General features: G+C 40.2%; 2 protein-coding genes and 1 pseudogene across 5 annotated transcripts in view, besides 1 other annotated feature; all 3 read left to right on the top strand.

Annotated features, from left to right (window-relative positions):
* Positions 1-24184, top strand: part of C12orf54 (chromosome 12 open reading frame 54) — an 83371-nt gene that overhangs the window by 51951 nt on the left and 7236 nt on the right. Inside the window, exons 5-9 of one of the 4 annotated variants that reach the window (XM_017018796.2) lie at positions 8874-8957; positions 9134-9225; positions 21074-21104; positions 21584-21622; positions 23820-23852. In XM_017018796.2, coding sequence (XP_016874285.1) covers positions 9143-9225; positions 21074-21104; positions 21584-21622; positions 23820-23852 — 186 coding nt within the window. In that variant the 5' untranslated portion in view covers positions 8874-8957; positions 9134-9142. Of the gene's footprint in view, positions 1-8873; positions 8958-9133; positions 9226-17393; positions 17473-18135; positions 18258-21073; positions 21105-21583; positions 21623-23819; positions 23853-24184 lie in introns of those variants that run through there. The other 3 variants (NM_152319.4, XM_005268636.4, XM_011537896.3) reach the window with 3 other exon arrangements.
* ANP32D (acidic nuclear phosphoprotein 32 family member D) lies at positions 7455-8518 on the top strand. Its single transcript, NM_012404.3, has one exon. It carries the CDS (start codon positions 7561-7563, stop codon positions 7954-7956), a length of 396 nt encoding a protein of 131 aa, NP_036536.2. The 5' UTR covers positions 7455-7560; the 3' UTR covers positions 7957-8518.
* Positions 22809-23383, top strand: RPS10P20 (ribosomal protein S10 pseudogene 20; annotated as a pseudogene).
* Positions 24020-24079: an enhancer, noted in NCBI's record as "active region_6284". NCBI's record gives its function as "activates an Ori minimal core promoter by ATAC-STARR-seq in GM12878 lymphoblastoid cells {active_cell/tissue: GM12878}" and the evidence as "EXISTENCE:reporter gene assay evidence [ECO:0000049][PMID:35858748]".

Genomic DNA, 24184 nt, shown 5'->3' on the forward strand with positions numbered 1-24184 from the left:
GAAACTATCAACAGAGTAAACAGACAACTGACAGAATGGGAGAAAATATTTGCAAACTATGCATCTGACAAACGTCTAATGCAGTATCTGTAAGGAACTTAAACAAATTTACAAGAAAACAAACAATCCCATTAAAAAGTGGGCAAGGGACATGAACAGACATGTCTCAAAAGAAGACATACATGCAGCCAAGAATTATATGAAAAAAAGCTGAACATCACTGATCATTAGAGAAATGTGAATAAAAAGCACAATGAGACACCATCTTACACCAGACAGAATGACTATTATTAAAAAGTCAAAACATAACTGATGCTGGCAAGGTTGTGGAGAAAAAGGAATGCTTATTCACTATTGGTGGGAGTGTAAATTCATTCAACCACTCTGGAAGAAAGTGTGGCAATTACTCAAAGACCTAAAAACAGAAATACCATTCAACCTAGCAATCTCATTACTGGGTATATAACCAAAGGAATATAAATTGTTCTAGTGTAAAGACATATGCATGCATATGTTCATTGCATCACTATTCAAAATAACAAAGACATGAAATCAACCTAAACACCCATCGATGATAGACTGGATAAAGAAAATGTGGTACATACACACCATGATACTATGCAGCCATAAAAAAAGAACTAGATCATGTCCTTTGCAGTAACATAAATGGAACTAGAAGCCATTATCCTTAGCAAACTAACACAGGAACAGAAAACCAAATTCCACATGTTCTCACTTACAAGTGGGAGCCAATGTGCAGGACTAATTGAATATCAACAAGGGAGAACTTCTATCTATGATATGTTTCACACCACTTCAAAAATTAATTCAAAATGAATAATAGAACTAAAAGTAAAGCCTAAAAATTCTGAAATTATGAAACTTCTAAAAGAAAACCTTAGAAAAACACTTGGCGACCTTGGGATAGGCAAAGATTTCTAAAAGGAAAAATTGATATATTGAACTTTATCGAAATTAAAGATTTTCATCTTCCTAAAAAACAGAGAGAAACAATTGCAATTCACATATATGATTAAGGAATTGAATCCAGAATAAACAAACACCCAAAACTTAATCTATTATTATAATACAAGAAACCCAATTATAAAATGGATAAAATATTTGTTCAGACATTTCATCAAAGATATATGGCTTGGGACTGGACGTGGTGGCTCATGCCTGTAATCCCAACACTTTGGGAGGCCTACGCAAATGGATCACCTGAGGTCTGGAGTTCGGGACGATCCTGGCCCACATAGTGAAACCCAGCTCTAATAAAAATACAAAAATTAGCCCTGGGCATGGTGACGTGCACCTGTAATCCCAGCTACTCAGGAGGCTGAGGCAGGAGAATTGCTTGAACTGGGGAGGTGAATGTTGCAGTGAGCCAAGATCGAGCCATTGCACTCAACCTAGGCAACAAGCGTGAAACTTTGCCTTAAAAAAAAAAAAAGATACATGACTTGCAAATGAAAAGATGCTTAACACGATTCGTTATTGCGGAAATGCAAATTAAAACCATGAGACAACACTACACACCTATTAGGATATTTAAAATTAGAAATAATGTCCATACCAAATTCTGGTAAAAATATAGAGCAACTTGAAATCTCATACACTGGTAGTAGGAATGTAAAATGGTACTGCAACTTTAGAAAACAGTTTGACAGTATATTAATTTTTTAAATATACAACCCCTACCATATGTCCCAGCCATTCCACTCCTATTTACCCAAAAGAAACAAAGCATATATCCATACAAAAATTTGTGAATGGATGTTCATAGCCACTTTATTTGTAATAGCCCCAAACTGAAAATAACCAAAATGTCCATCAACAGGTAAATGGAAAAACAAATGGTAGTATATGTATATGTAGTGATGTGAACGGTACCCCTCCCCAACAGATGTTCACTCAGAACCTGTAAATGTGACTTTATTTGGGAAAATGGTCTTTGCAAATATAACTAAGTTAAGGATATCAAGATAAGATCATCCTAGATTAGGATGAGACCTAAGTCTAATGACAAGAGTCTTTAGAAGAGAAGGGAAAAGACACATCAGAAGAGAAGGTGATGGGAAGACAGAGGTAGAGACTGAAATAAGGCATTACAAACAAACGAACTACACAGATTGTCTGCAGCCAGTAAAAGCTAAAAGAGAAGCTTGGAACCCATTCTCCCTGAAAGCCTTTAGAAGAAACGAACCCTGTCGACACCTTGATTTCAGACTTCTGGCCAACAGAACTGTGAGGGAATACATTTTTGTTGTTAAAGCCACCAATTTTGTGGCAATTTGTTATGGCAGCCCTATGAAATGAATACACCACATGATGGAATACTACTCAGCAATGAAAATGAATGAAATGAATGCTGTACATAATAACAGGAATCTCAAAATAATTATTCTGAATGAAAGAACCTGTACCATAAAAAGTACACAATGTATAATTTTATTTAAATAAAATTCTAGAAAATACATAACATTCTATTAATAGAATAAGGGAAAGAAAATCCATGGTTGCTTCAGGATGGGAGGGTCAGAATGGCAGAGAGGGCTAAGATGACAGATTACCAAGGGGCCCAAGGAAACTTTTGAATTCATGGATATTTTCATTATCTTGTTTCTGTTGATAATTTCATGGGTGTATACGCATGCCCAAAATTAACAAGTATGTGTCTTTTATTGCATGTCAATTATACCTCAATAAAGTTCTTGAAAATATAGTCTAAATTTAGTCTTTTGTTGGGGGGCCATGTAACAACTTAGCTATTTTAGATGATATCATGGCAGCAGAGGGGTGCCTCTCCTCTGTAGGATGCCCTTGTATCCTCATCACTGGCCTGGATAATAATGCGATGGCTTCCCACCCACGGGAAATGTCACTATGTAGTATTTATTGGCTCATTTATTCTACATACATTTGAGTTCCTTCTATTTTTCAAATATAGTTCTTGGTAGTGTAAATACAATCGATAATGATTAAGACAAAAGCCCTCATGAAGCTTACATTCCATGAGATGAATCAGACAAACAAAACTATTAGGTATTTATAATGTCCAGTGGGGATTTAAAAAATACAAATCAGAGTAAAGGGCAAGTGGTGGCAGCTGCTGCTTTAGAGAGGGGTTATAAGAAGATCTCTCTGAGGATATGTCATTTGAGTGAGGGAGCCAAAACCTTGAGACAGAAGTGCACATCTGGCACACCGGAGGGAAAGGAAGCTAGTGTGACTAAAGCAGAATGGACAGGTGGAGTGGGCAGGAATGATGTCCAAGGGGTAGGCCTGGACATGGAAGGACTGTGTGCTTTGTCCTAAGCATGATGCAGAGGGAACACAGGGTTTTGAGGAAGGCTGTGATGTGATCTATATGTGTTTTATGTATTTGTTTATTTATTTATTTTACAAGAGACACATTTTATGTATAAAGATACAGATGGATCGAAAGTACAAGGACCAAAAAAGATACCATGCAAACACTAACTACAACAACAATAAAGCTGTTATGGTTATATTAATATCAGACAAAGCAGTCACTTTTTTTTCAACTTTTATTTTAGATACAGGGGATACATGTGCAGGTTGGTTACATGGGTATATTTCATTCAGGTAGTGAGCTTAGTACCCAATAGGTAGTTTTCCAGCCCACATGCACCTCTGTCTTATAGGGGGAACCAGCCCCCAATATTTCAATGTAACAGTTCTTTTTTATTTTCCCTAAGTGTCGGCCTGTCTGAGAAATAAAGAGAAAGAGTACAAAAGAAAGAAATTTTACATCTGGGTCTCCGGGGGTGACATCACATGTCGGCAGGTTCCATGATGCCTGAGCCACAAAACCAGCAAGTTTTTATTAGCGATTTTCAAAGGTGTGGGAGTGTATGAATAGGCTGTGGGTCACAGAGATCACATGCTTCAAAGGCAATAAAATATCACAAGGCAAATGGGGGCAGAGCAAGATCACAAGGTCAGGGCAAAATTAGAATTACTAATGAGGTTTCATGTCCTGCTGAGCTCACATTGTCATTGATAAACATCTTAACAGGAAACAGGGTTCAAGAGCAGACAACCAGTCTGACTAGAATTCGCCAGGCTGGAATTTCCTAATCCTAGCAAGCCTGGGGGCGCTGCAGGAGACCAGGGAGTATTTCATCCTTTATCTACAACTGCATAAGATGGACACTCCCAGAGCGGCCATTTTAGGGACTCCCCCTGGGAATGCCTTCGTTTTCCCAGAGTTATTCCTTGCTGAGAAAAGAATTCCGCGATATTTCCTATTCACTTTCTGAAAGAAGAGAAATATGACTCGGTTCTTCCCGGCCCCGCAGACAGTCAGACTTTATGGTTATCTCCCTTGTTCCCTGAAAATTGCTGTTATCCTGTTCTTTTAGGATGCCCAGATTTCATATTATTCAAGCACACATGTTTTACAAACAATTTGCCCAGATAACAAAATCATCACAGGGTCCTGAGGCAACATACATCCTCATCTTATGAAGATGATGGGATTAAGAGATTAAAGTAAAGACAGGCATAGGAAATTATAAGAGTATTGATTGGGGAAGTGATAAGTGTCCATGAAATCTTCACAATTTATGTTCAGAGATTGCAGTAAAGACAGGTGTAAGAAATTACAAAAGTATTAATTTGGGGAACTAACAAATGTCCATGAAATCTTCACAATTTATGTTCTGCTGTGGTTTCAGCCAGTCCCTCTGTTTGGGGTCCCTGACTTCCCACAACACTGTCTCTTCCCACTCTAGTTGTCCCCAACATCTGTCATTCCCATGTTTATGTTCCTGAATGCCCAAAGTTTCACTCCCACAGGTGAGAACATGAAGTATTTGATTTTCTGTTCCTGCATTAATTTCCTTAGGATTATGGCCTCCATCTCCAACCACGTTGCTGCAAAGGACATGACTTTATTCATTTTTATGGCTACATGCTATTCCATGGTGTCTATGTACCACATTTTCTTTATCCAGTCTAACCATTGATGAGCACCTAGGTTGATTCCATGTCTTTACTACTCTGAATAGTGCAGCGATGAACATATGCATGCATGTTTCTTTTTGGTAGAATGATTTATTTTCCTTTGGGTAGATACCCAGTAATGGAACTGGTGGATCAAATGTATTTCTGTTTTAAGTTCTTTGAGAAATCTCCAAACTGCTTTCCACAGTGGCTGAACTAATTTACATTCCCACCAACAATGTAGAAGTGTTGTCTTTTCTCCGCAGCCTCACCAACATCTGTTATTTTTTTACTTTTTGGTAATAGCCATTCCAACTGGTGGAAGATGGTATCTCATTGTGATTTTGATCTGCATTTCTCTGATGAGCATTTTCTCATATGTTTACTTGTGTGTGTTCTTTCGAGAAGTGTCTGTTCATGTCCTTTGCCCATTTTTCATGGGGTAGCTTTTTGCTTGTTGATTTAAGTTCCTTATAGAGTCTTGATATTAGATCTTTGTCAGATGCATAGTTTGCAAATATTTTCTCCCATTCTGTAGGTAGTCTGTTTACTGATGGCTTCTTTGGCTGTGCAGAATCTCTTTAGTTTAATTAGGTCCCACTGGTCCATTTTTTTTTGTTTTTGTTGCAATTGCTTTTGGGGACTTAGCCAAAAATTCTTTGCCAAGGTTGATGTCAACAAGGGCATTTCCTAGGTTTTCTTCTAGAATTTGTTTTCAATTTTTATGTTTATTTATTCTTTTTTAATTTTTTAAAATTTTGTGGGTGCATATTAGATATATATACTTATGGCGTACATGGGATGTTTTGATACAGGCATGCAATGTGAAATAAGCACATCATGGATAATGGAGTATCCATCCCCAGAAGCATTTATCTTTCAAGTTACAAATAATGCAATTACACTCTTTAAATTATTTTTAAATGTACAATTAAGTTATTTTTATTATAGTCACCCTGTTGTGCTATCAAATAGTAGGTCTTATTCATTCTTTTTATTTTTTTGTACCCATTAACCATCCTCATCTCCCCCCAACAGCCCCCACTACACTTCCCAGCCCCTCCTCCATGAGTTCTATTGTTTTGATTTTTAGATCCCACAAATAAGTGAGAACATGCAATGTTTGTCTTTCTGTGCCTGGCTTATTTCACTTAACATAATAAACTCCAGTTCCATTCATGTTGTTGCAAGTGACTGGATCTCATTATTTTTATGGCTGACGAGTACTCCATTGTGTATATGCACCACATTTTCTTTATCCATCCATCTGCTGATGGACATTTAGGTTGCTTCCAAATCTTAGTAAACAGTGCTGGAACCAACATAGGAGTGCAGATATCTCTTCTATATACTAATTTCCTTTCTTTGGGGCATATTTTCTAGGATTTTTATAGGTTGAAGTCTTGCATTTAAAACTTTAATCCATCTTCAGTTAGTTTTTATGTATGGTGAAAGGTAAGGGTCTGGTTTCATTCTTCTGCATATGGCTAGCCAGTTATCCCAGCACCATTTATTGAAAAGAAAGTCCTTTCCCCATTGCTTGTTTTTCTTGGTCTTGTCAAAGATCAGATATTTTTAAGTGTAAGGCTTTATTTCAGAAGTTTCTATTCTGTTCCATTTGTCTATGTGTCTGTTTTTGTGTCGATACCATGCTGTTTTGGTTACTATAGCTTTATAGGATAGTTTGAAGTCAGGTAGTGTGATGTCTCTGGCTTTGTTCTTTTTACTTGGGGCTACTTTTGCTATTCAGGCTATTTTTTGGTTCCACGTGAATTCAGAGTAGTTTTTTTCTAATTCTGTGATGGATGACATTGGTAATTTGATAGAAATAGTGTTGAATCTGTAAGCCACTTTGGGGAATATGACCGTTTTAATAATATTGATCTTACAATTCATGAACATGGGATGTTTTTCCACTTATTTGTGCCATCTCTGGTTTCTTTGAGCAGTGATTTGTAGTTCTCCTTGTAGAAATTTTTCACCTCTCCTTGGTTAGCTGTATTCCTAGGTATTTCATTTTCTTTGTGGCTATTGTAAATGGGGTTGTGTTCTTGATTTATTCTCAGCTTGAATACTATTGGTGTATAGAAATGCTACTAGTTTTGTATATTGATTTTGTATCCTGAAATCTTACTAAAACTGTTTATCAGCTCTATTAACCTTTTGGCAGAGTCTTTAGGGTTTTCTGCATTTTAAAATGAGCATTCTGGCTGCTGCAGGAAGATAAGAATGATCTAGTTAGGAGGCTTTGACAACAGTCCGTGAGATATATACTATGGCGTGGCCTAGAGATGATGAGAAGTGATCAGATTTAGGATACACTGTAAAGGTACAGCCAATACATCTATCTGATGTAAAATAGAAAAATAGAGGAAGTAGTCATTATTCTAAGGTTTTGGAGCAACTGGGTGAATGATAGCACAATTTAATGTGATGGGAGATAATAGATTTTGGGTGTGTTTGGAATTAAGAATTTACTTTCGGAGAACCCAGCAGAGCTGGTTGAGCTTTCAAATGTGCGGTTGTGGGTTCGGGGTTTATTGGTTGAATTCCGCTGGCTCAGGAGCCTCTGCAGAGAAAGCGTGAGAGATGGAGATGGGCAAATGGATTCATTTAGAGCTGCGGAACAGGACGCCCTCCGATGTGAAAGAACTTTTCCTGGACAACAGTCAGTCAAATGAAGGCAAATTGGAAGGCCTCACAGATGAATTTGAAGAACTGGAATTATTAAATACAATCAACATAGGCCTCACCTCAATTGCAAACTTGCCAAAGTTAAACAAACTTAAGAAGCTTGAACTAAGCAGTAACAGAGCCTCAGTGGGCCTAGAAGTATTGGCAGAAAAGTGTCCAAACCTCATACATCTAAATTTAAGTGGCAACAAAATTAAAGACCTCAGCACAATAGAGCCCCTGAAAAAGTTAGAAAACCTCGAGAGCTTAGACCTTTTCACTTGCGAGGTAACCAACCTGAACAACTACTGAGAAAAGATGTTCAAGCTCCTCCTGCAACTCACATATCTCAACGGCTGTGACCCGGATGACAAGGAGGCCCCTAACTCGGATGGTGAGGGCTTTGTGGAGTGCCTGGATGACAAGGAGGAGGATGAGGATGAGGAGGAGTATGATGAAGATGCTCAGGTAATGGAAGATGAGGAGGACGAGGATGAGGAGGAGGAACGTGAAGAGGAGGACGTGAGTGGAGACGAGGAGGAGAAGGATGAAGGTTATAACAATGGAGAGGTAGATGATGAGGAAGATGAAGAAGAGCTTGGTGAAGAAGAAAGGGGTCAGAAGCGAAAATAAGAAACTGAAGATGAGGGAGAAGACGATGCCTAAGTGGAATAATCTATTTTGAAAAATTCCTTTTGTGATTTTACTGTTTTTAGCCGTATCCCCTCCCCCACTCCAATCCTGCCCCCTGAAACTTATTTTTTTCTGATTGTAACGTTGCTGTGGGAGCAAGAGAGGAAAAGTGTACTGGGGGTTGTGAGGGAAGGGAGGGGAGGAGGGGGTGGAATAAAATACTATTTTTACTGCCACTCTTTATTTTTTCCCCCTACTTTTTCCTTGTGTCCAGTTTTTGTCCCTGTAAATGCAATAGTTAAGTACACACTAAGCATTTGTTCCTGGCTCTCAAAGAAGATGGTTTGGAGTTCTCTTATGTTTCCTGGTATTTTCCAAGTCTCAGGTTGGGTGGAAGTCCGCGGCTGGTCTCAGTTTGGTTACTCAACACCCAGAAGGGTCTGAGCACCAGCCATAGCTTTTGCTTTGATTCACATGCTTTTCGCGGAACTGCTAGAGGCATCCAACACCCTGGTTTGTAAATAGCAACCTAAAGGTGTATTTTGGCACTGGTTTGGGGACATTCCCCATCTCTCATCCCTTTTCCCCCTTCACAGATCGTGGTGGGCTTCCTTCTACAAAGAGGACTCAGATGTTACTCTTGAGAGCTTAAGAGCCAGAGAGCTGAAAATGGCAGTCTTGTGAGTTACAAGGAAAATGGATTTGGTAATAATAATTAAAAGTGAAGAAACAAACCCTCAAACTTCAACTTCTTTACAAGAAAAAAAAACTGTCCTATCTTGTTCTGTAAAATATTAGAATGCTTTGTTTTACAAAAATGATGAGAGAATTCTTCTACATGTATTTCTGTGCTTAGAACAATTTTATGGAGCCAGGTGGAGGAGCCAAGATGGCCGAATGGGAACAGCTCTGGTCTACAGCTCCCAGCATGAGCGATACAGAAGACAGGTGATTTCTGCATTTCCAACTGAGGTACTGGGTTCATCTCACTGGGGAGTGCCAGACAGTAGGTGCAGGACAGTGGGTGCAGCACACAGTGCATGACCCGAAGCAGGGCGAGGCATCATCTCACCCAGGAAGTGCAAGGGGTCAGGGAATTCCCTTTCCTAGTCCAAGAAAGGGGTGACAGATGGCACCTGGAAAATCGGGTCACTCCCACCCTAGTACTGCGCTTTTCCAATGGGCTTAAAAAAAGCACACCAGGAGATTATATCCCACACATGGCTCGGAGGGTCCTACGCCCACAGAGTCTCGCTCATTGCTAGCACAGCAGTCCGAGATCAAACTGCAAGGTGGCAGCAAGGCTGCGGGAGGGGCGCCCGCCATTGCCAAGTTAGTTGTTTGATTAGGTAAACAAAGCAGCCGGGAAGCACGAACTGGGTGGAGCCCACCACAGCTCAAGGAGGCCTGCCTGCCTCTGTAGGCTCCACCTCTAGGGGCAGGGCACAGACAAACAAAAAGACAGCAGTAACCTCTGCAGACTTAAATTTCCCTGTCTGACAGCTTTGAAAAGAGTAGTGGTTCTCCCGGCACGCAGCTTGAAATCTGAGAACAGGCAGACTGCCTCCTCAAGTGGGCCCCTGACCCCTGAGTAGCCTAACTGGGAGGCACCCCCCAGTAGGGGCAGACTGACACCTCACACAGCCGGGTACTCCTCTGAGACAAAACTTCCAGAGGAACAATCAGGCATCAGCATTTGCGGTTCACCAATATCCGCTGTTCTGCAGTCACTGCTGCTGAAACCCAGGCAAACAGGGTCTGGAGTGCACCTCTAGCAAACTCCAACAGACCTGCAGCTGAGGGTCCTGTCTGTTAGAAGGAAAACTAACAAAGAGAAAGGACATCCATACCAAAAACCCATCTGTATGTCACCATCATCAAAGAACAAAGGTAGATAAAACCACAAAGATGGGAAAAAAAGAGAAGAAAAACCAGAAACTCTAAAAATCAGAGCACCTCTCCTCCTCCAAAGGAATGCAGCTCCTCACCAGCAACAGAACAAAGCTGGATGGAGAATGACTTTGACGAGTTGAGAGAAGAAGGCTTCAGAAGATCAAACTACTCTGAGCTACAGGAGGAAACTTGAACCAATGGCAAAGAAGTTAAAAGCTTTGAAAAAAAAATTAGATGAATGGATAACTAGAATAACCAATGCAGAGAAGTCATTAAAGGACCTGATGGAGCTGAAAACCATGGCACGAGAGCTACATGATGAATGCAGAAGCCTCACTAGCTGATGCGATCAACTGGAAGAAAGGGTATCAGTGATGGAAGATGAAATGAATGAAATGAAGCAAGAAGAGAAGTTTAGAGAAACAAGAATAAAAAGAAATGAACAAAGCCTCCAAGAAATATGGGACTATGTGAAAAGACGAAATCTACATCTGATTGGTGTACCTGAAAGTGACAGGGAGAATGGAACCAAGTTGGAAAACACTCTGCAGGATATTATCCAGGAGAACTTCCCCAATCTAACAAGGCAGGCCAACATTCAGATTCAGGAAATACAGAGAACGCCACAAAGATACTCCTCGAGAAGAGCAACTCCAAGACACATAATTGTCAGATTCACCAAAGTTGAAATGAAGGAAAAAATGTTAAGGGCAGCCAGAGAGAAAGGTTGGGTTACCCACAAAGGGAAGCCCATCAGACTAACAGCTGATCTCTCGGCAGAAACTCTACAAGCCAGAAGAGAGTGGGGGCCAATATTCAACATTCTTAAAGAAAAGAATTTTCAACCCAGAATTTCATATCAGCCAAACTAAGCTTCATAAGTGAAGGAGAAATAAAATCCTTTACAGACAAGCAAATGCTGAGAGATTTTGTCACCACCAGGCCTGCCCTAAAAGAGCTCCTGAAGGAAGCACTAAACATAGAAAGGAACAACCAGTACCAGTCACTGCAAAAACATGCCAAATTGTAAAGACCATCCAGGCTAGGAAGAAACTGCATCAACTAACGAGCAAAATAACCAGCTAACATCATAATGACAGGATCAAATTCACACATAACAATATTAACTTTAAATGTAAATGGGCTAAATGCTCCAATTAAAAGACACAGACTGGCAAATTGGATAAAGAGTCAAGACCCATCAGTGTGCTGTATTCAGGAAACCTATCTCACGTGCAGAGACACACATAGGCTCAAAATAAAGGGATGGAGGAAGATCTACCAAACAAATGGAAAACAAAAAAAGGCAGGGGTTGCAATCCTAGTCTCTGATAAAACAGACTTTAAACCAACAAAAATCAAAAGAGACAAAGAAGGCCATTACATAATGCTAAAGGGATCAATTCAACAAGAAGAGCTAACTATCCTAAATATATATGCACCCAATACAGGAGCACCCAGATTCATAAAGCAAGTCCTTAGAGACCTACAAACAGACTTAGACTCCCACACAATAATAATGGGAGATGGTAACACCCCACTGTCAACATTAGACAGATCAATGAGACAGAAAGTTAACAAGGATATCGAGGAATTGAACTCAGCTCTGCACCAAGCGGACCTAATAGACATCTACAGAACTCTCCATCCCAAATCAACAGAATATACATTCTTTTCAGCACCACACCACACCTATTCCAAAATTGACCACATAGTTGGAAGTAAAGCACTCCTCAGCAAATGTAAAAGAACAGAAATAATAACAAACTATCTCTTAGACCACAGTGCAATCAAACTAGAACTCAGGATTAAGAAACTCACTCAAAACCACTCAACTACATGGAAACTGAACAACATGCTCCTGAGTGACTACTGGGTAAATAATGAAATGAAGGCAGAAATAAAGATGTTCTTTGAAACCAATGAGAACGAAGACACAACATAGCAGAATCTCTGGGACACATTCAAAGCAGTGTGTAGAGGGAAATTTATAGCACTAAATGCCCACAAGAGAAAGCAGGAAAGATCTAAAATTGACACCCTAACATCACAATTAAAAGAACTAGAAAAGCAAGAGCAAACACATTCAAAAGCTAGCAGAAGGCAAGAAATAACAAAGATCAGAGCAGAACTGAAGGAAATAGAGACACAAAAAACCCTTCAAAAAATTAATGAATCCAGGAGCTGGTTTTTTGAAGACATCAACAAAATTGATAGACCTCTAGCAAGACTAATAAAGAAGAAAATAGAGAAGAATCAAATAGATGCAATAAAAAATGACAAAGGGGATATTACCACCAATCTCACAGAAGTACAAACTACCATCAGAGAATACTATAAACACCTCTACGCAAATAAACTAGAAAATCTAGAAGGAATGCATAAATTCCTCGACACATACATCCTCCCAAGACTAAACCAGGAAGAAGTTGAATCTCTGACTAGACCAATAACAGGAGCTGAAATTGAGGCAATAATCAATAGCTTAACAACCAAAAAAAGTTGAGGACCAGATGGATTCACAGCCGAATTCTACCAGAGGTACAAAGGGGAGATGATCCCAATCCTTCTGAAACTATTCCAATCAATAGAAAAAAAGGGAATCCTCCCTAACTCATTTTATGAGGCCAGCATCATCCTGATACCAAAGCCTGGCAGAGACACAACCGAAAAAGAGAAATTTAGACCAATATCCTTGATGAACATTGATGCAAAAATCCTCAATAAAATACTGGCAAACCGAATCCAGCAGCACATCATAAAGCTTATCCACCATGATCAAGTGGGCTTCATCCCTGGGATGCAAGGCTGGTTCAACATACACAAATCAATAAATGTAATCCAGCATATGAACAGAAACAAAGACAAAAACCACATGATTATCTCAATAGATGCAGAAAAGGCCTTTGACAAAATTCAACAATGCTTCATGCTAAAAACTCTCAATAAATTAGGTATTGATGGAACTTATCTCAAAATAATAAGAGCTATCTATGACAAACCCACAGCCAATATCATACTGAACGGGCAAAAACTCAAAGCATTCCCTTTGAAAACAGGCACAAGATAGGGATGCCCTCTCTCACCACTCCTATTCAACATAGTGTTGGAAGTTCTGGCCAGGGCAATCAGGCAGGAGAAGGAAATAAAGGGTATCCAATTAGGAAAAGACGAAGTCAAATTGTCCCTGTTTGCAGATGACATGTTTGTATATCTAGAAAACCCCATCATCTCAGCCCAAAATCTCCTCAAGCTGATAAGCAACTTCAGCAAAGTCTCAGGATACAAAATCAATGTACAAAAATCACAAGCATTCTTATACACCAATAACAGACAAACAGAGAGCCAAATCATGAGTGAACTCCCCTTCACAATTGCTTCAAAGAGAATAAAATACCTAGGAATCCAACTTACAAGGGACGTGAAGGACATCTTCAAGGAGACACTTCTCAAAAGAAGACATTTATGCAGCCAAAAAACACATGAAAAAATGCTCACCATCACTGTGCATCAGAGAAATGCAAATCAAAACCACAATGAGATACCATCTCACACCAGTTAGAATGGCAATCATTAAAAAGTCAGGAAACAACAGGTGCTGGAGAGGATGTGGAGAAACAGGAACACTTTTACACTGTTGGTGGGACTGTGAACTAGTTCAACCCTTGTGGAAGTCAGTGTGGTGATTCCTCAGGGATCTAGAACTAGAAATACCATTTGACCCAGCCATCCCATTACTGTATACCCAAAGGATTAAAAATCATGCTGCTATAAAGATACATGCACACGTATGTTTATTGCGGCACTATTCACAATAGCAAAGACTTGGAACCAACCCAAATGTCCAACAATGATAGACTGGATTAAGAAAATGTGGCACATATGCACCATGGAATACTATGCAACCATAAAAAATGATGAGTTCATGTCCTTTGTAGGGACATGGATGAAACAGGAAACCATCATTCTCAGCAAACTATCACAAGGACAAAAAACCAAACACCGCATATTCTCACTCATAGGTGGGAATTGAACAATGAGAACACATGGACACAGGAAGGGGAACATCACACGTTGGGGACTGCTGTGTGGTGGCGGGAGTGGGGAGGGATAGCATTAGGAGATATACCTAATGCTAAATGACTAGTTAATGGGTGCAGCACACCAACATGGCACATGTATACATATGTAACAAACCTGCACGTTGTGCACATGTACCCTAAAACTTAAAGTATAATAATAATAAAATAAAATATATATTTAAAAAAGAACATTTTTAGGGACCTAAGTGCTGGAGGCGTTGCTACATGTCAGCTGGGTTTTGTTTTGTTTTTTTTTTTCATACACCCGAGCACGGAAAAACTAATGCAAAATTTTATTTTCTTACCTAGTGGAAATCTGAAATGATTGCAATTCCTAGTGAATGTACAGTTGCTTTTGTGTCCCTCTCTGGTTGCTTCATAAGTGACATGTAATTTCTGAACCCATGTTTCATCTGTATAAAAGAACATCTGCACCCATTTTTCTCCTGCCCCTCAGACGAGCCAAACTTTGAGTTTCATGTCTGTTTGTCATTGATAAGTTTCAATAGATCTTTTCATACAATTTTTTGGGGGATGGCTTCTTTAAGTCCAACAGGCCATTGATCTTTTCAAGATGGATTCCAGATGAACTGCTAGGTGAGGGAGAAGCTTCATTTTTGTTACCTGATAGAATAGCTTTTCTTATTTTATATATATATATAATGTAACACTAGGTTTGGATACTTTCGGTCTTAAAGCAAGACCCTGGTATATCTTCATTAAAAGCTTCATTTAAAAAAGTTATAAAGTTACCAAAAACACAAATATCCAAACAATCAAGTTGGGCCAACCTTGGAACCTTGTTTTGAATATCTTTCAGTGTTTTGTTTGTTGTATTGTAAAAAGAATGTATGGTTGAAACTCAGGAATGTATAAAACAAATTGTTTCACAAAAAAATTACTTTTAAGAAGTGTCTGTTCATGTCCTTTGTCCAATTTTTAATTGAGTTGTTTGGTTTTTTCTTGTTTATTTGTTTAAGTTCCTTATAGATTCTGGATATTAGTCCTTTGTCAGATGCATAGTTTGCAAATATTTTCTCCCATTCTATAGCTTATCTGTTTACTCTGTTGAGAATTTTTGCTGTGCAAAACTGTTTAACTAAGCCAACAAATATATGAAAAAATGTGCAACATCACTAATTATCAGAGAAATACAAATCAAAATCACAATGAGACATCTCATCTCACACCAGTCAGAATGGCCATTATTAAGTCAAAAGATAACAGATGCTGGCTTATACACTGCTGGTGGGGATGCAAATTAGTTCGGCCCCTATAGAAACCAGTTTGAACATTTCTCAAAGAACTAAAAATGGAACTTCCATTTGACCCATCAATCTCATTACTTTGGATATACCCAAAGGAAAATTAATCATTCTAACAAAAAGACACATGTACTTGTATGTTTATCGCAGCACTATTCACAATAGCAAAGACATGGAATCAACCCAGGTGCCCATCAATCATGGATGGGATAAAGTGTGGTACATTTCTCTTCATGGAATACACCATGAAATACAATGCAGCCATAAAAAATAATGAAATTATATTCTTTCCAACAACATGGATGTAGATGGAGGTCATTATCCCAGGCAAGCTAACACAGAAACAGAAAACCAAATACCACATGTTCTCACCTGTAAGTGGAAGCTACACTCACACAGACATAAAGATGGGAACAATAGACTCCAAAAGAAGGGAGGGAGGGGGCAAAGATGAAAAGCTTCCTATTGGGTACTATGCTCACTGTCTGGGTGACAGGATCAATAGAAGCCCAAACCTCAGCAATATATCCTTGTAACAAACCTACATGTGTATCCTCTGAATCCAAAATAAAAATAGAGTTTTTTTTTTAAAAAAAATGACTTTTGGATAGCAAAAGACTTGGGGTGGTTTGAGAGAGGTAGGAATTGAGTTGGATTATGAGATACATCTGGCCATGAAAGGGTAAAAGTCCCTGTGATGTGAGATGATAAAGGGAGGAGCTTAGACTCCTTATGGAAACTGAGGTAAATAAAAAGGTAGATTATGATGGAAATGGCCCTGCTGGTCTCTTAGAGGGTGGGAGAGAGTAACCTCTAATCAGAGTCTAATTTGAAGCACTTCATGATAGTAAGAAGGTGGTGTGCAGAGAGGGTCCATGGTGGTCTCACTAGTAGCACCTGGAGCTCTAAAATCAAAACAAGGGATGGGACAGTATGCCTTTCCTTTAAAGTCTGCTAAAGACAGGTGGAGCGCCGAGCCAATGTTGACACCTCCATCTGTTGTACATACCCTGGCATTTTGTCGCAGGTTGCATGATTTGTGAGTCCTCTTTAGATTTTAGCCCTCTCCTTCTCCACTCTGCATTTCTGCATGAGGAGTTTTCCCACCATCACCTGGGCAGGCTATGGGACCTGAAAGGTACTATCTCAGGTCCTGTCTGCCTAAACACGCTATACCACAATTCCCACTTCACCACGACCTCCCCATGTAGGCACAGTGCTCTCTCTGAGGCTGCTCCTCCAGGGGTCTAGTTTCAAGGGAGAAGCTGGCCCTTGGTTCCTTCTGTTCTTAGATTTCTAGACATATTGGGATATTTTATATGCACCATCACCAAAAGGAAGCAGGTCCCAGAGTTGCACACCTACACCTAATGCCTCTTCCCTAATTTTCACTTCCTGCCTCCGTATTAAAACCCTATACTTTCTTCAGAAAAACTGTTTTCATCCCTTCTAAATCTAAATGGTTTTAAATCCATGATCATTCACAAATCTTTGGTGATTTTCTAGGTCAAAGACTTTGGGAATTCACAACAAAACCATTTCTCTCTGAAGGACCTAGCTCTTGAAATTGAAAGCCAGATTTCTCAGACCTGATTTTGAAATTCAAAGTAAAAACTGGATTCTTCTGGCCTCATTCCTTTCATCTCTAAGAATCAATGGATTTCCAATGCAATGGGTAGAAGGCAATGAAGAAGCAAAAATTCCCAGAAATTAAAATTAAAATCCCACAACATTATCCCTCCATTTTACCATTATCGTTTGGATTGAATGGAGCCTAGTGTGTGGCTGGGAGGGAAAGCAAGTTGTCCGTCTATGAGGTCACAGCTGAAGTCACAAAGTATTGAAAATGGCAAGGTTGATATGGGAACAGGAGGCTGTTGTGAGATGGGGCTCAAATAGGAAAAAGTCTAGGGGTGAAGGAGTGGGGCAAAGTGTAATTTGGGGAACCAAGCAGGGTAAGTTTCTAGGCATAATTGACCTCGTTCTTGACTGGGGCTTGGAGGCCAAGAAGGGTGGGAGTGGGAAAAGTGGGAGGGAAACTTCTCAAAGGAGGATTTGTCTCCTGTCTGGGCCACTGCCTATGAGCCCTTCTTCTCTACAAAGCACTTTAAGGCTGGAGCTGATGGCCCTCCATCCTGAAACTCCTCTATCCTTAGTTAACCATGAAAATTCTGACTGAGGTGGGAGGGGGTGGGGTATTTGACAATCTTGCATTCACTCTACACTATTTCCTGTCCTTGCCTGAACTCAAAGACCCTTTGGCCAATCCCCCATCCCCAATCTCAGCCAACTTATTTTTCACTTAGATTCTCTCTTTTTTTTTTTCGTCTACTTCCTCACTGCAATTTCTGTTGTTACTGACAAAGACTATAGGAAGATTTTACCCAGGGCAAATACTTCCTTCCTCTTACCCTCCTCTTACCTTCATCTTTCCTTATGCATATGTACATGCATATGCACACATACATGCACATATATGCAAGCACACACATGCACATGCACACTCACCCATTCAAAATACAAATGCTCCATTAACTGCTGGTAGTTCTCCACTGAATAAGCGCTTTTCTTCTCACCATGTACCTGCCTTCTCCGCATATTCATTTATGCCTCTCCAGGGCCTGGAGCTATCTCCATCTTCAGCTCCAGAGTCCTTGGTTTCTGTCTGAGAACAAATGGCACAGCATCCCTGCCAGGATCAGGAACAAAAGGTAGAAATGACCTCCAAGCAGCAGAGAAGGTAATGGGGCTAATGATGACCCTCAAACATCCTTAGATTGCTATACTCTATGGGAGAAGAACCAGGGCCTCCTGTCTTCTATGGCTCTTCATTTGGCTTCACTTGCTTCCTGGCTGAATAAGATGGGGACTTTCATGTGTCCTCCCTCTTCTCCATCTCCTTAATGAAAGAGATAATAGCAAATCTTTGTCATTTTAATTTAGAAATCAGGCATCAATTGCAATTCCTCTAGGGGTTGGCGGGGTATACAAACTAGGGACATTAATTTATTCCAGGATTGACTTTGCCTAAGTCCTTTATATCCTCTATAGTGTAAATCAAGGTCAACCATCTAAAATCAAGCTTCTCTTGGCCTACAGTGGAAAAGAGGGCTAGAATCTGCTGCTTGAGGCTAAATATGAGACCCAGGTGATGGTATCCATGAAGTCAGAAAAGAAGGAGGGTTTACTGTGAACTTATGGGTCAGGAAAGCTTCATAAGGAATCAGAACTTGGCTTGAGCCTTTGAACTTGCAGCAGATGTTTTGAGATAAGAGTTTGTAGAAATTTGGGGCTGGGTGCAGTGCCTCATGCCTGTAATCCCAGCACTTTGGGAGGCCAAGGCGGGCGGATCACCTGAGGTTGGGAGTTCGAGATCAGCCTGACCAATATGGAGAAACCCCATCTCTACTAAAATTACAAAAAATTAGCTGGGTGTGGTGGTGCATGCCTGTAATCCCATCTATTTGGGAGGCTGAGGCAGGAGAATCGCTTGAACCTGGGAGGCGGAGGTTGCGGTGAGCCGGGATCATGCCATTGCACTCCAGCCTGGGCAATAAGAGCGAAACAAAGAGTTTGTAGAAATTTGGGAAGAGAAAGTGAAAAATGACTTCTAAATTTCTAAGCTGCCTGAAAGTGCTCAGAATGGTTAACTGGACCTCAAGCCTGAGACCCAGTGAGGAATTGAGAAGACTGAATCTGGAGGAAGTTGGGAATCTGCTCTATCTAAGAGTATGAATTCTCTTCCAGACAGCTGCAGGACCTTGAGGAAAAAATAATGAGTAGATATTGGAGTCTCCTAGACTTCTATATGAGAAAGCACATAAACCACACCAGAGCCCTGGCCTTTCTGCCAATGAAGATATGCTTTTTTTGGTGGTAAAAGTGGACAGGACACTGTAAAAATAACACACAACAATAAGAACATTTGAAAAAACTTAACAGTTACAAATGCTTTCATATAATCATCCCCCAAATCCTTGAGAGAAAGATTACTCCTCTTGTTTTATAGGTGAGGAAACAAGCTTAGGGTTGAGGTTCAATAGCATAGTAGCGTGACTATAATTAACAATAATTTATTATGTATTTCAAAATAGTTAGCTGAGAAGAGCTGAAATGTTCCCAGCACAAAGAACTGATCAATGTTTGAGGTGATGGATATCCTAAATACTCTTGATTTGATCATTACATATTGTATGCATTATCAAACTATCACATGTACCTCATAAATATGTGATTATTATGTATCAATAAATAAAAGGATGTTTTCAGAATTAGGGGCATGGTTTGGATTTGCAATGAGTAGTAGCTCTGCCAGGTTCTATGGAGAAATAGCACTCCAGCTGGCAGAATTGTGTGCCTGAGCCATTTGATATGATGTCAATGCTATTAATGTTCATCAGGAGTCTCCTCTTAACTGGAAATCTGTAGGCTCAATGTCTTTTTATTTTTATTTTATTTTATTTATTTATTTTTAGCGACAGGGCTTGCTCTGTTGCCGAGGCTAGAGTGCAGTATCACAATCATAGCTCACTGCAGCCTCGAACTCCTGGGCTCAAGCAATCCTCCTGTCTCAGCCTCCTGAGTAAGCTAGGACTACAAGTGCCTGCCACCATGCCTGACTGGGTTTTTGATGTTGTTTCTGCTGTTTTGTTTGTTGTTGGTTTTGTTTTGTTTTGTTTTGTTTTGTTTGTAGAGACAAGGTCTCACTATGTTGCCCAAGCTGGTCTTGAACTACAGTGTCATCTAGAGCCCAGTTTTCTCTCTATTCTGGGTCCCCAGACTCCCTGTGACTACTGGCCTCCCTAGCCCTGTTTAGAAAAACTTACTGCTTTTTGTAATGGCAGGAACTGTACTAGCAGGAACCCCTGGGCAAGGAGATGAAGCTGAGTTTGCTCAGGATCAGCGAGCATGGTAGAGCAGACTGGTTGCCCCGATTTCACTCACTTTCACCCTTCTTCTTTCTTCCAGTTACCTGTTTATCTGTATACACTGCCTCCTAGGTGACTTTGGCACTGATTTAGGAATGAGATGGTATTTAGGAATAAGAGCTTCAGTTGTGCTGCCAAGAATAAGCAAATCTTTCCACTTCTTCAGCCTTCCATCCCCATTCCCACCCCATCAGAAGTCACGAAGGAAAAGAACACTTTTTCGGGGGATAAAAAAGGAAGCAGTTTGCTAATTGAGTGTACTTTCCAAAGAGGACCTGGGAAGTTTGACAGGTTAGGCGGGGTGAAGGGTAGAGAGTGGACATAAATTAGGCAGGCAGGAGAATGACAAGGTTTAATGACAGTGTCCATCACCTTCACTTCCATTGTTCTATGCTTTAGAGTTCTCAAAGGGCTTCCACAATAGTCAAGATACTTGGAAGATGAGGCAAGTATCTCTCCCCACACCTCCCATAAAGGGATATGAGAGGCAGGACCGTGGCTACCCTTCCTGGATTTTTAGTATAGAAACTTCAAGAATTCCTGCTAGGAGTGATAGAATAGAGTTAGGAGAAGGCTTTAGCCCACATTCTGTGCTCCTCATCAGGTTTATATCATTCTTTCTTTGCAGCACATCCATAGAAGAGACAATGAGACCACAGGTGGGTAAGGTATCCAAATTCTCTGGATCCTCTGGGGCTTCTAATTCCTAGGGAGAGGGGAGGAGAAGAGGTTGTAGACAGGAGGCCAAAAAAAAAAGCTACCTGACAAGGGACAGGGTGCCCTTGACTGGCTGGTGGAGTGGGTCATTGTCTACCAAACCAGGTAACGTCTCCAATGCCACCACTTCACCAGATGACTAAAGGGGCAGGCAGGCTTACAGGCATTGAAAAGATGGTAAACAAATGAGTCTGTTTGTACCTGTCATGCACCAGCTAGATCCAGAGCGAAGCAGGATATATGGGATGAAATGATTCACCAGGGCTGCAGGAGACTTTTGGCTGCCTGAGAAATGGGGTGATTTTGGGTGTCCAGCTCAATTCCAAGAAACATCTTGTCTTCCACCAGTTTCATAATGTGTCACTTCAGATTCTGGGAGAGTTGGGATATTGTTTCCAACATTTGTTCCTTATTTCTACAGGAAAAACAGGTAACCATCACTGAAACCCTGTGGGACCAGGTGAGTACAGAGGAATCATTTTTGACAGCATGGCATGAGGTGGGAGGTGGGGGAAGTCTTCAGGAAGGAGCACATTTCTTTCTCTTTCCTTGAGCGGTTTGTTGATTGACGGTGAAGGATCAACACGCTCCCTCCCACCTTGTTCTGTTGCTCGTGCAGTCTCATATCCTCAGAGCTCCTCGTGTCTGTGCATGTTAGTGCCCCTTCCTGGCACCCACTTGTTTGAAGCTGTCACAGGTCCTGTTTGTTTTAAGGGTGTTTAATCCCCAATTCTCAGTGATTGCTACAGACTTGAAAGCACAGGTTTGGCCTTTCACAAACATGAAAATGTTGGTTTCAATTCACAAACATAAAAATGCCAGGTTTCACTTTATAGTTGAAGGGTATATATGTGCAGAAGCTAGTAATGCCCATAAGATACCCACAGCAAATTGAACTTTCATAGAACACAGACATTTACTTGGAGTTTCTAAGAGGTCTTCACATAAATACCAGCTACTTCAACATCCCAATCTTACCATATTAGTTGCTTGTAAAACCTTAGATAGAGATGAGAATTAAAAGATAATTGATCACTTTTGAACTTATAGGAAACTGAGCAGGAAAAGACTGTTAATTAAGTCAATGGCTATGGCTTTCTGATTAAAATGAGTAAAATTCTCCAGAGCCTCTTGTGCCAGCCCCCACTGTACAATATTATTTAAAATGAATAATGTGTCCAACATGCTTTATTTTCTGTGACATTCAATGACTCTTTACATAAGGAAATAATCTTAATTACAATGCTGAACAGTAGCATAACTATTTCATGTTCTTACAATTATTATATTAGCTAAAGAGTAAGTTGCTTGTGTAAGAGTCAAAAGACCATCCTGTTGAGAACAAGTAAATAATCAGGCACTTATAACAAAGAGTAAACAAAGGGCAATGAATTGATCATTGAGAGGCAACGAATTAATCATTGGCACACTCTACCCCTTTGACCATTTATCTTCCATATGTACTCTTATATACAAATTGAAACTCCTAAATATCTACATACACTATATTTCCACCAAACAAGATACAACCATCTTAAAGTTCTCACACTTTCTCCCAAGGGAGACAACCCACAGTTCCAACAGTCACTGGATCCATTCATGGCTGGGTAACACAGTAGGTGGATATTTGGTTTTATAAGAAACTGCCAGCCCTGGCCCTGGATCCTATAGCCGCTGAGATGTTGATACCTAAGAAGAACTGGGTTGCCATTTATGAACTCCTTTTTAAGGAGAGTCATGGTGGCCAAGAAGGATGTCGACATGCCTAAGCACCCGGAGCTGGCAGACAAGAATGTGCCCATCCTTCACATCATGAAGGCCATGCAGTCTCTCAAGTCCCAAGGCTGCATGAAGGAACAGTTTGCCTGGAGACATTTCTACTGGAACCTTATGAATGAGGGTATCCAGTATCTCCATGATTACCTTCATTGGCCCCTGGAGTCTGTGCCTGTCACTCTATGCCGCAGCCATCCAGAGACTGGCAGGCCTCGGCCTAAAGGTCTGGAGGATTAGCGATCTGGAAGACTTACAAGAGGGGAAGCCAACAGAGATACCTACAGACAGAATGCTGTGCCCCCTGGTGCCGACAAGAAAGCCAAGGCTGGGGCTGGGTCAGCAACTGAATTCCAGTTTAGAGGTGGATTTGTTCATGGATGTGGTCATCTACCTCAGTAAAATTGGAGAGGATTATTTTGCATTGAATAAACTTACAGCCAAAAAAAAAAAAAAGAAAGAAAGAAAAGAAAGTGCCGGAACTTTTTCCAAAGTGAGCATATGATTTTACACACCCTCCAACAAGCAAATAAATACCTGTTGATTTGAATACCTATGCTAAGCTTCAGAATAAGAACCAATTAGACCGAAAATAAATATAATAGTAGGTTTCATTATACATTCAATGCACAGCCCAGTCTTCTTTAAATACTTTACTGTATTTTGCTCATTTACCATACAGAGAAATTGCAGCCCAGAGGTTTCTGTAGAGTGGAAGTCAATGAGGATTTATTGCTAGCGCTACAAAGCCACAGTCTCTTGGCATTCACATTCTACAGCCTAGTGGCTAGGAGACTAGGTAACTTAATTTTATATGTGAAATCCCTCTGTAATAAAGTGATCATCTACAATATTATTTTTTCTATATTTTTGTCTTCTGTCAGGTGCTGACAGTTTTTAAGGATATACAAAAGGAGGTGAGATTAGATTTTGATTCTCTGAATTCCCCAGCCCCATCATGTGCCTTGATCCCATTTTTTTTCTTACCCTACTGAGATGTTGCCTCTGACCAAGGTTTTAGCTTCATTTATTTTTCTAGTGATTTCTCCCTTAAAGAGTACCACTGACTTGTCAGTCCAGGCGGCTAAGGCAAGAAGATGCCTAACAGTTCCCTTGAGGAAATGTGATAATACAAACAGAAAATTGTATCTGCTAGAACTTGTCTCAGCAAGAATACTCTATGTGGTTGTATGAAATGCTGATAATGACTAAGCTGGGGAGAATCCCCTAGTGATGTAGTAAACTGCCT

The sequence above is a fragment of the Homo sapiens genome, chromosome 12 (assembly GCF_000001405.40).
Source record: "Homo sapiens chromosome 12, GRCh38.p14 Primary Assembly".
Lineage (NCBI taxonomy): Eukaryota > Metazoa > Chordata > Mammalia > Primates > Hominidae > Homo > Homo sapiens.

What these genes read in the sequence shown, in the direction of transcription:
- ANP32D (NM_012404.3), top strand. Translation starts at nt 7,561, where the DNA reads ATGGAGATGGGCAAATGGATTCATTTAGAGCTGCGGAACAGGACGCCC.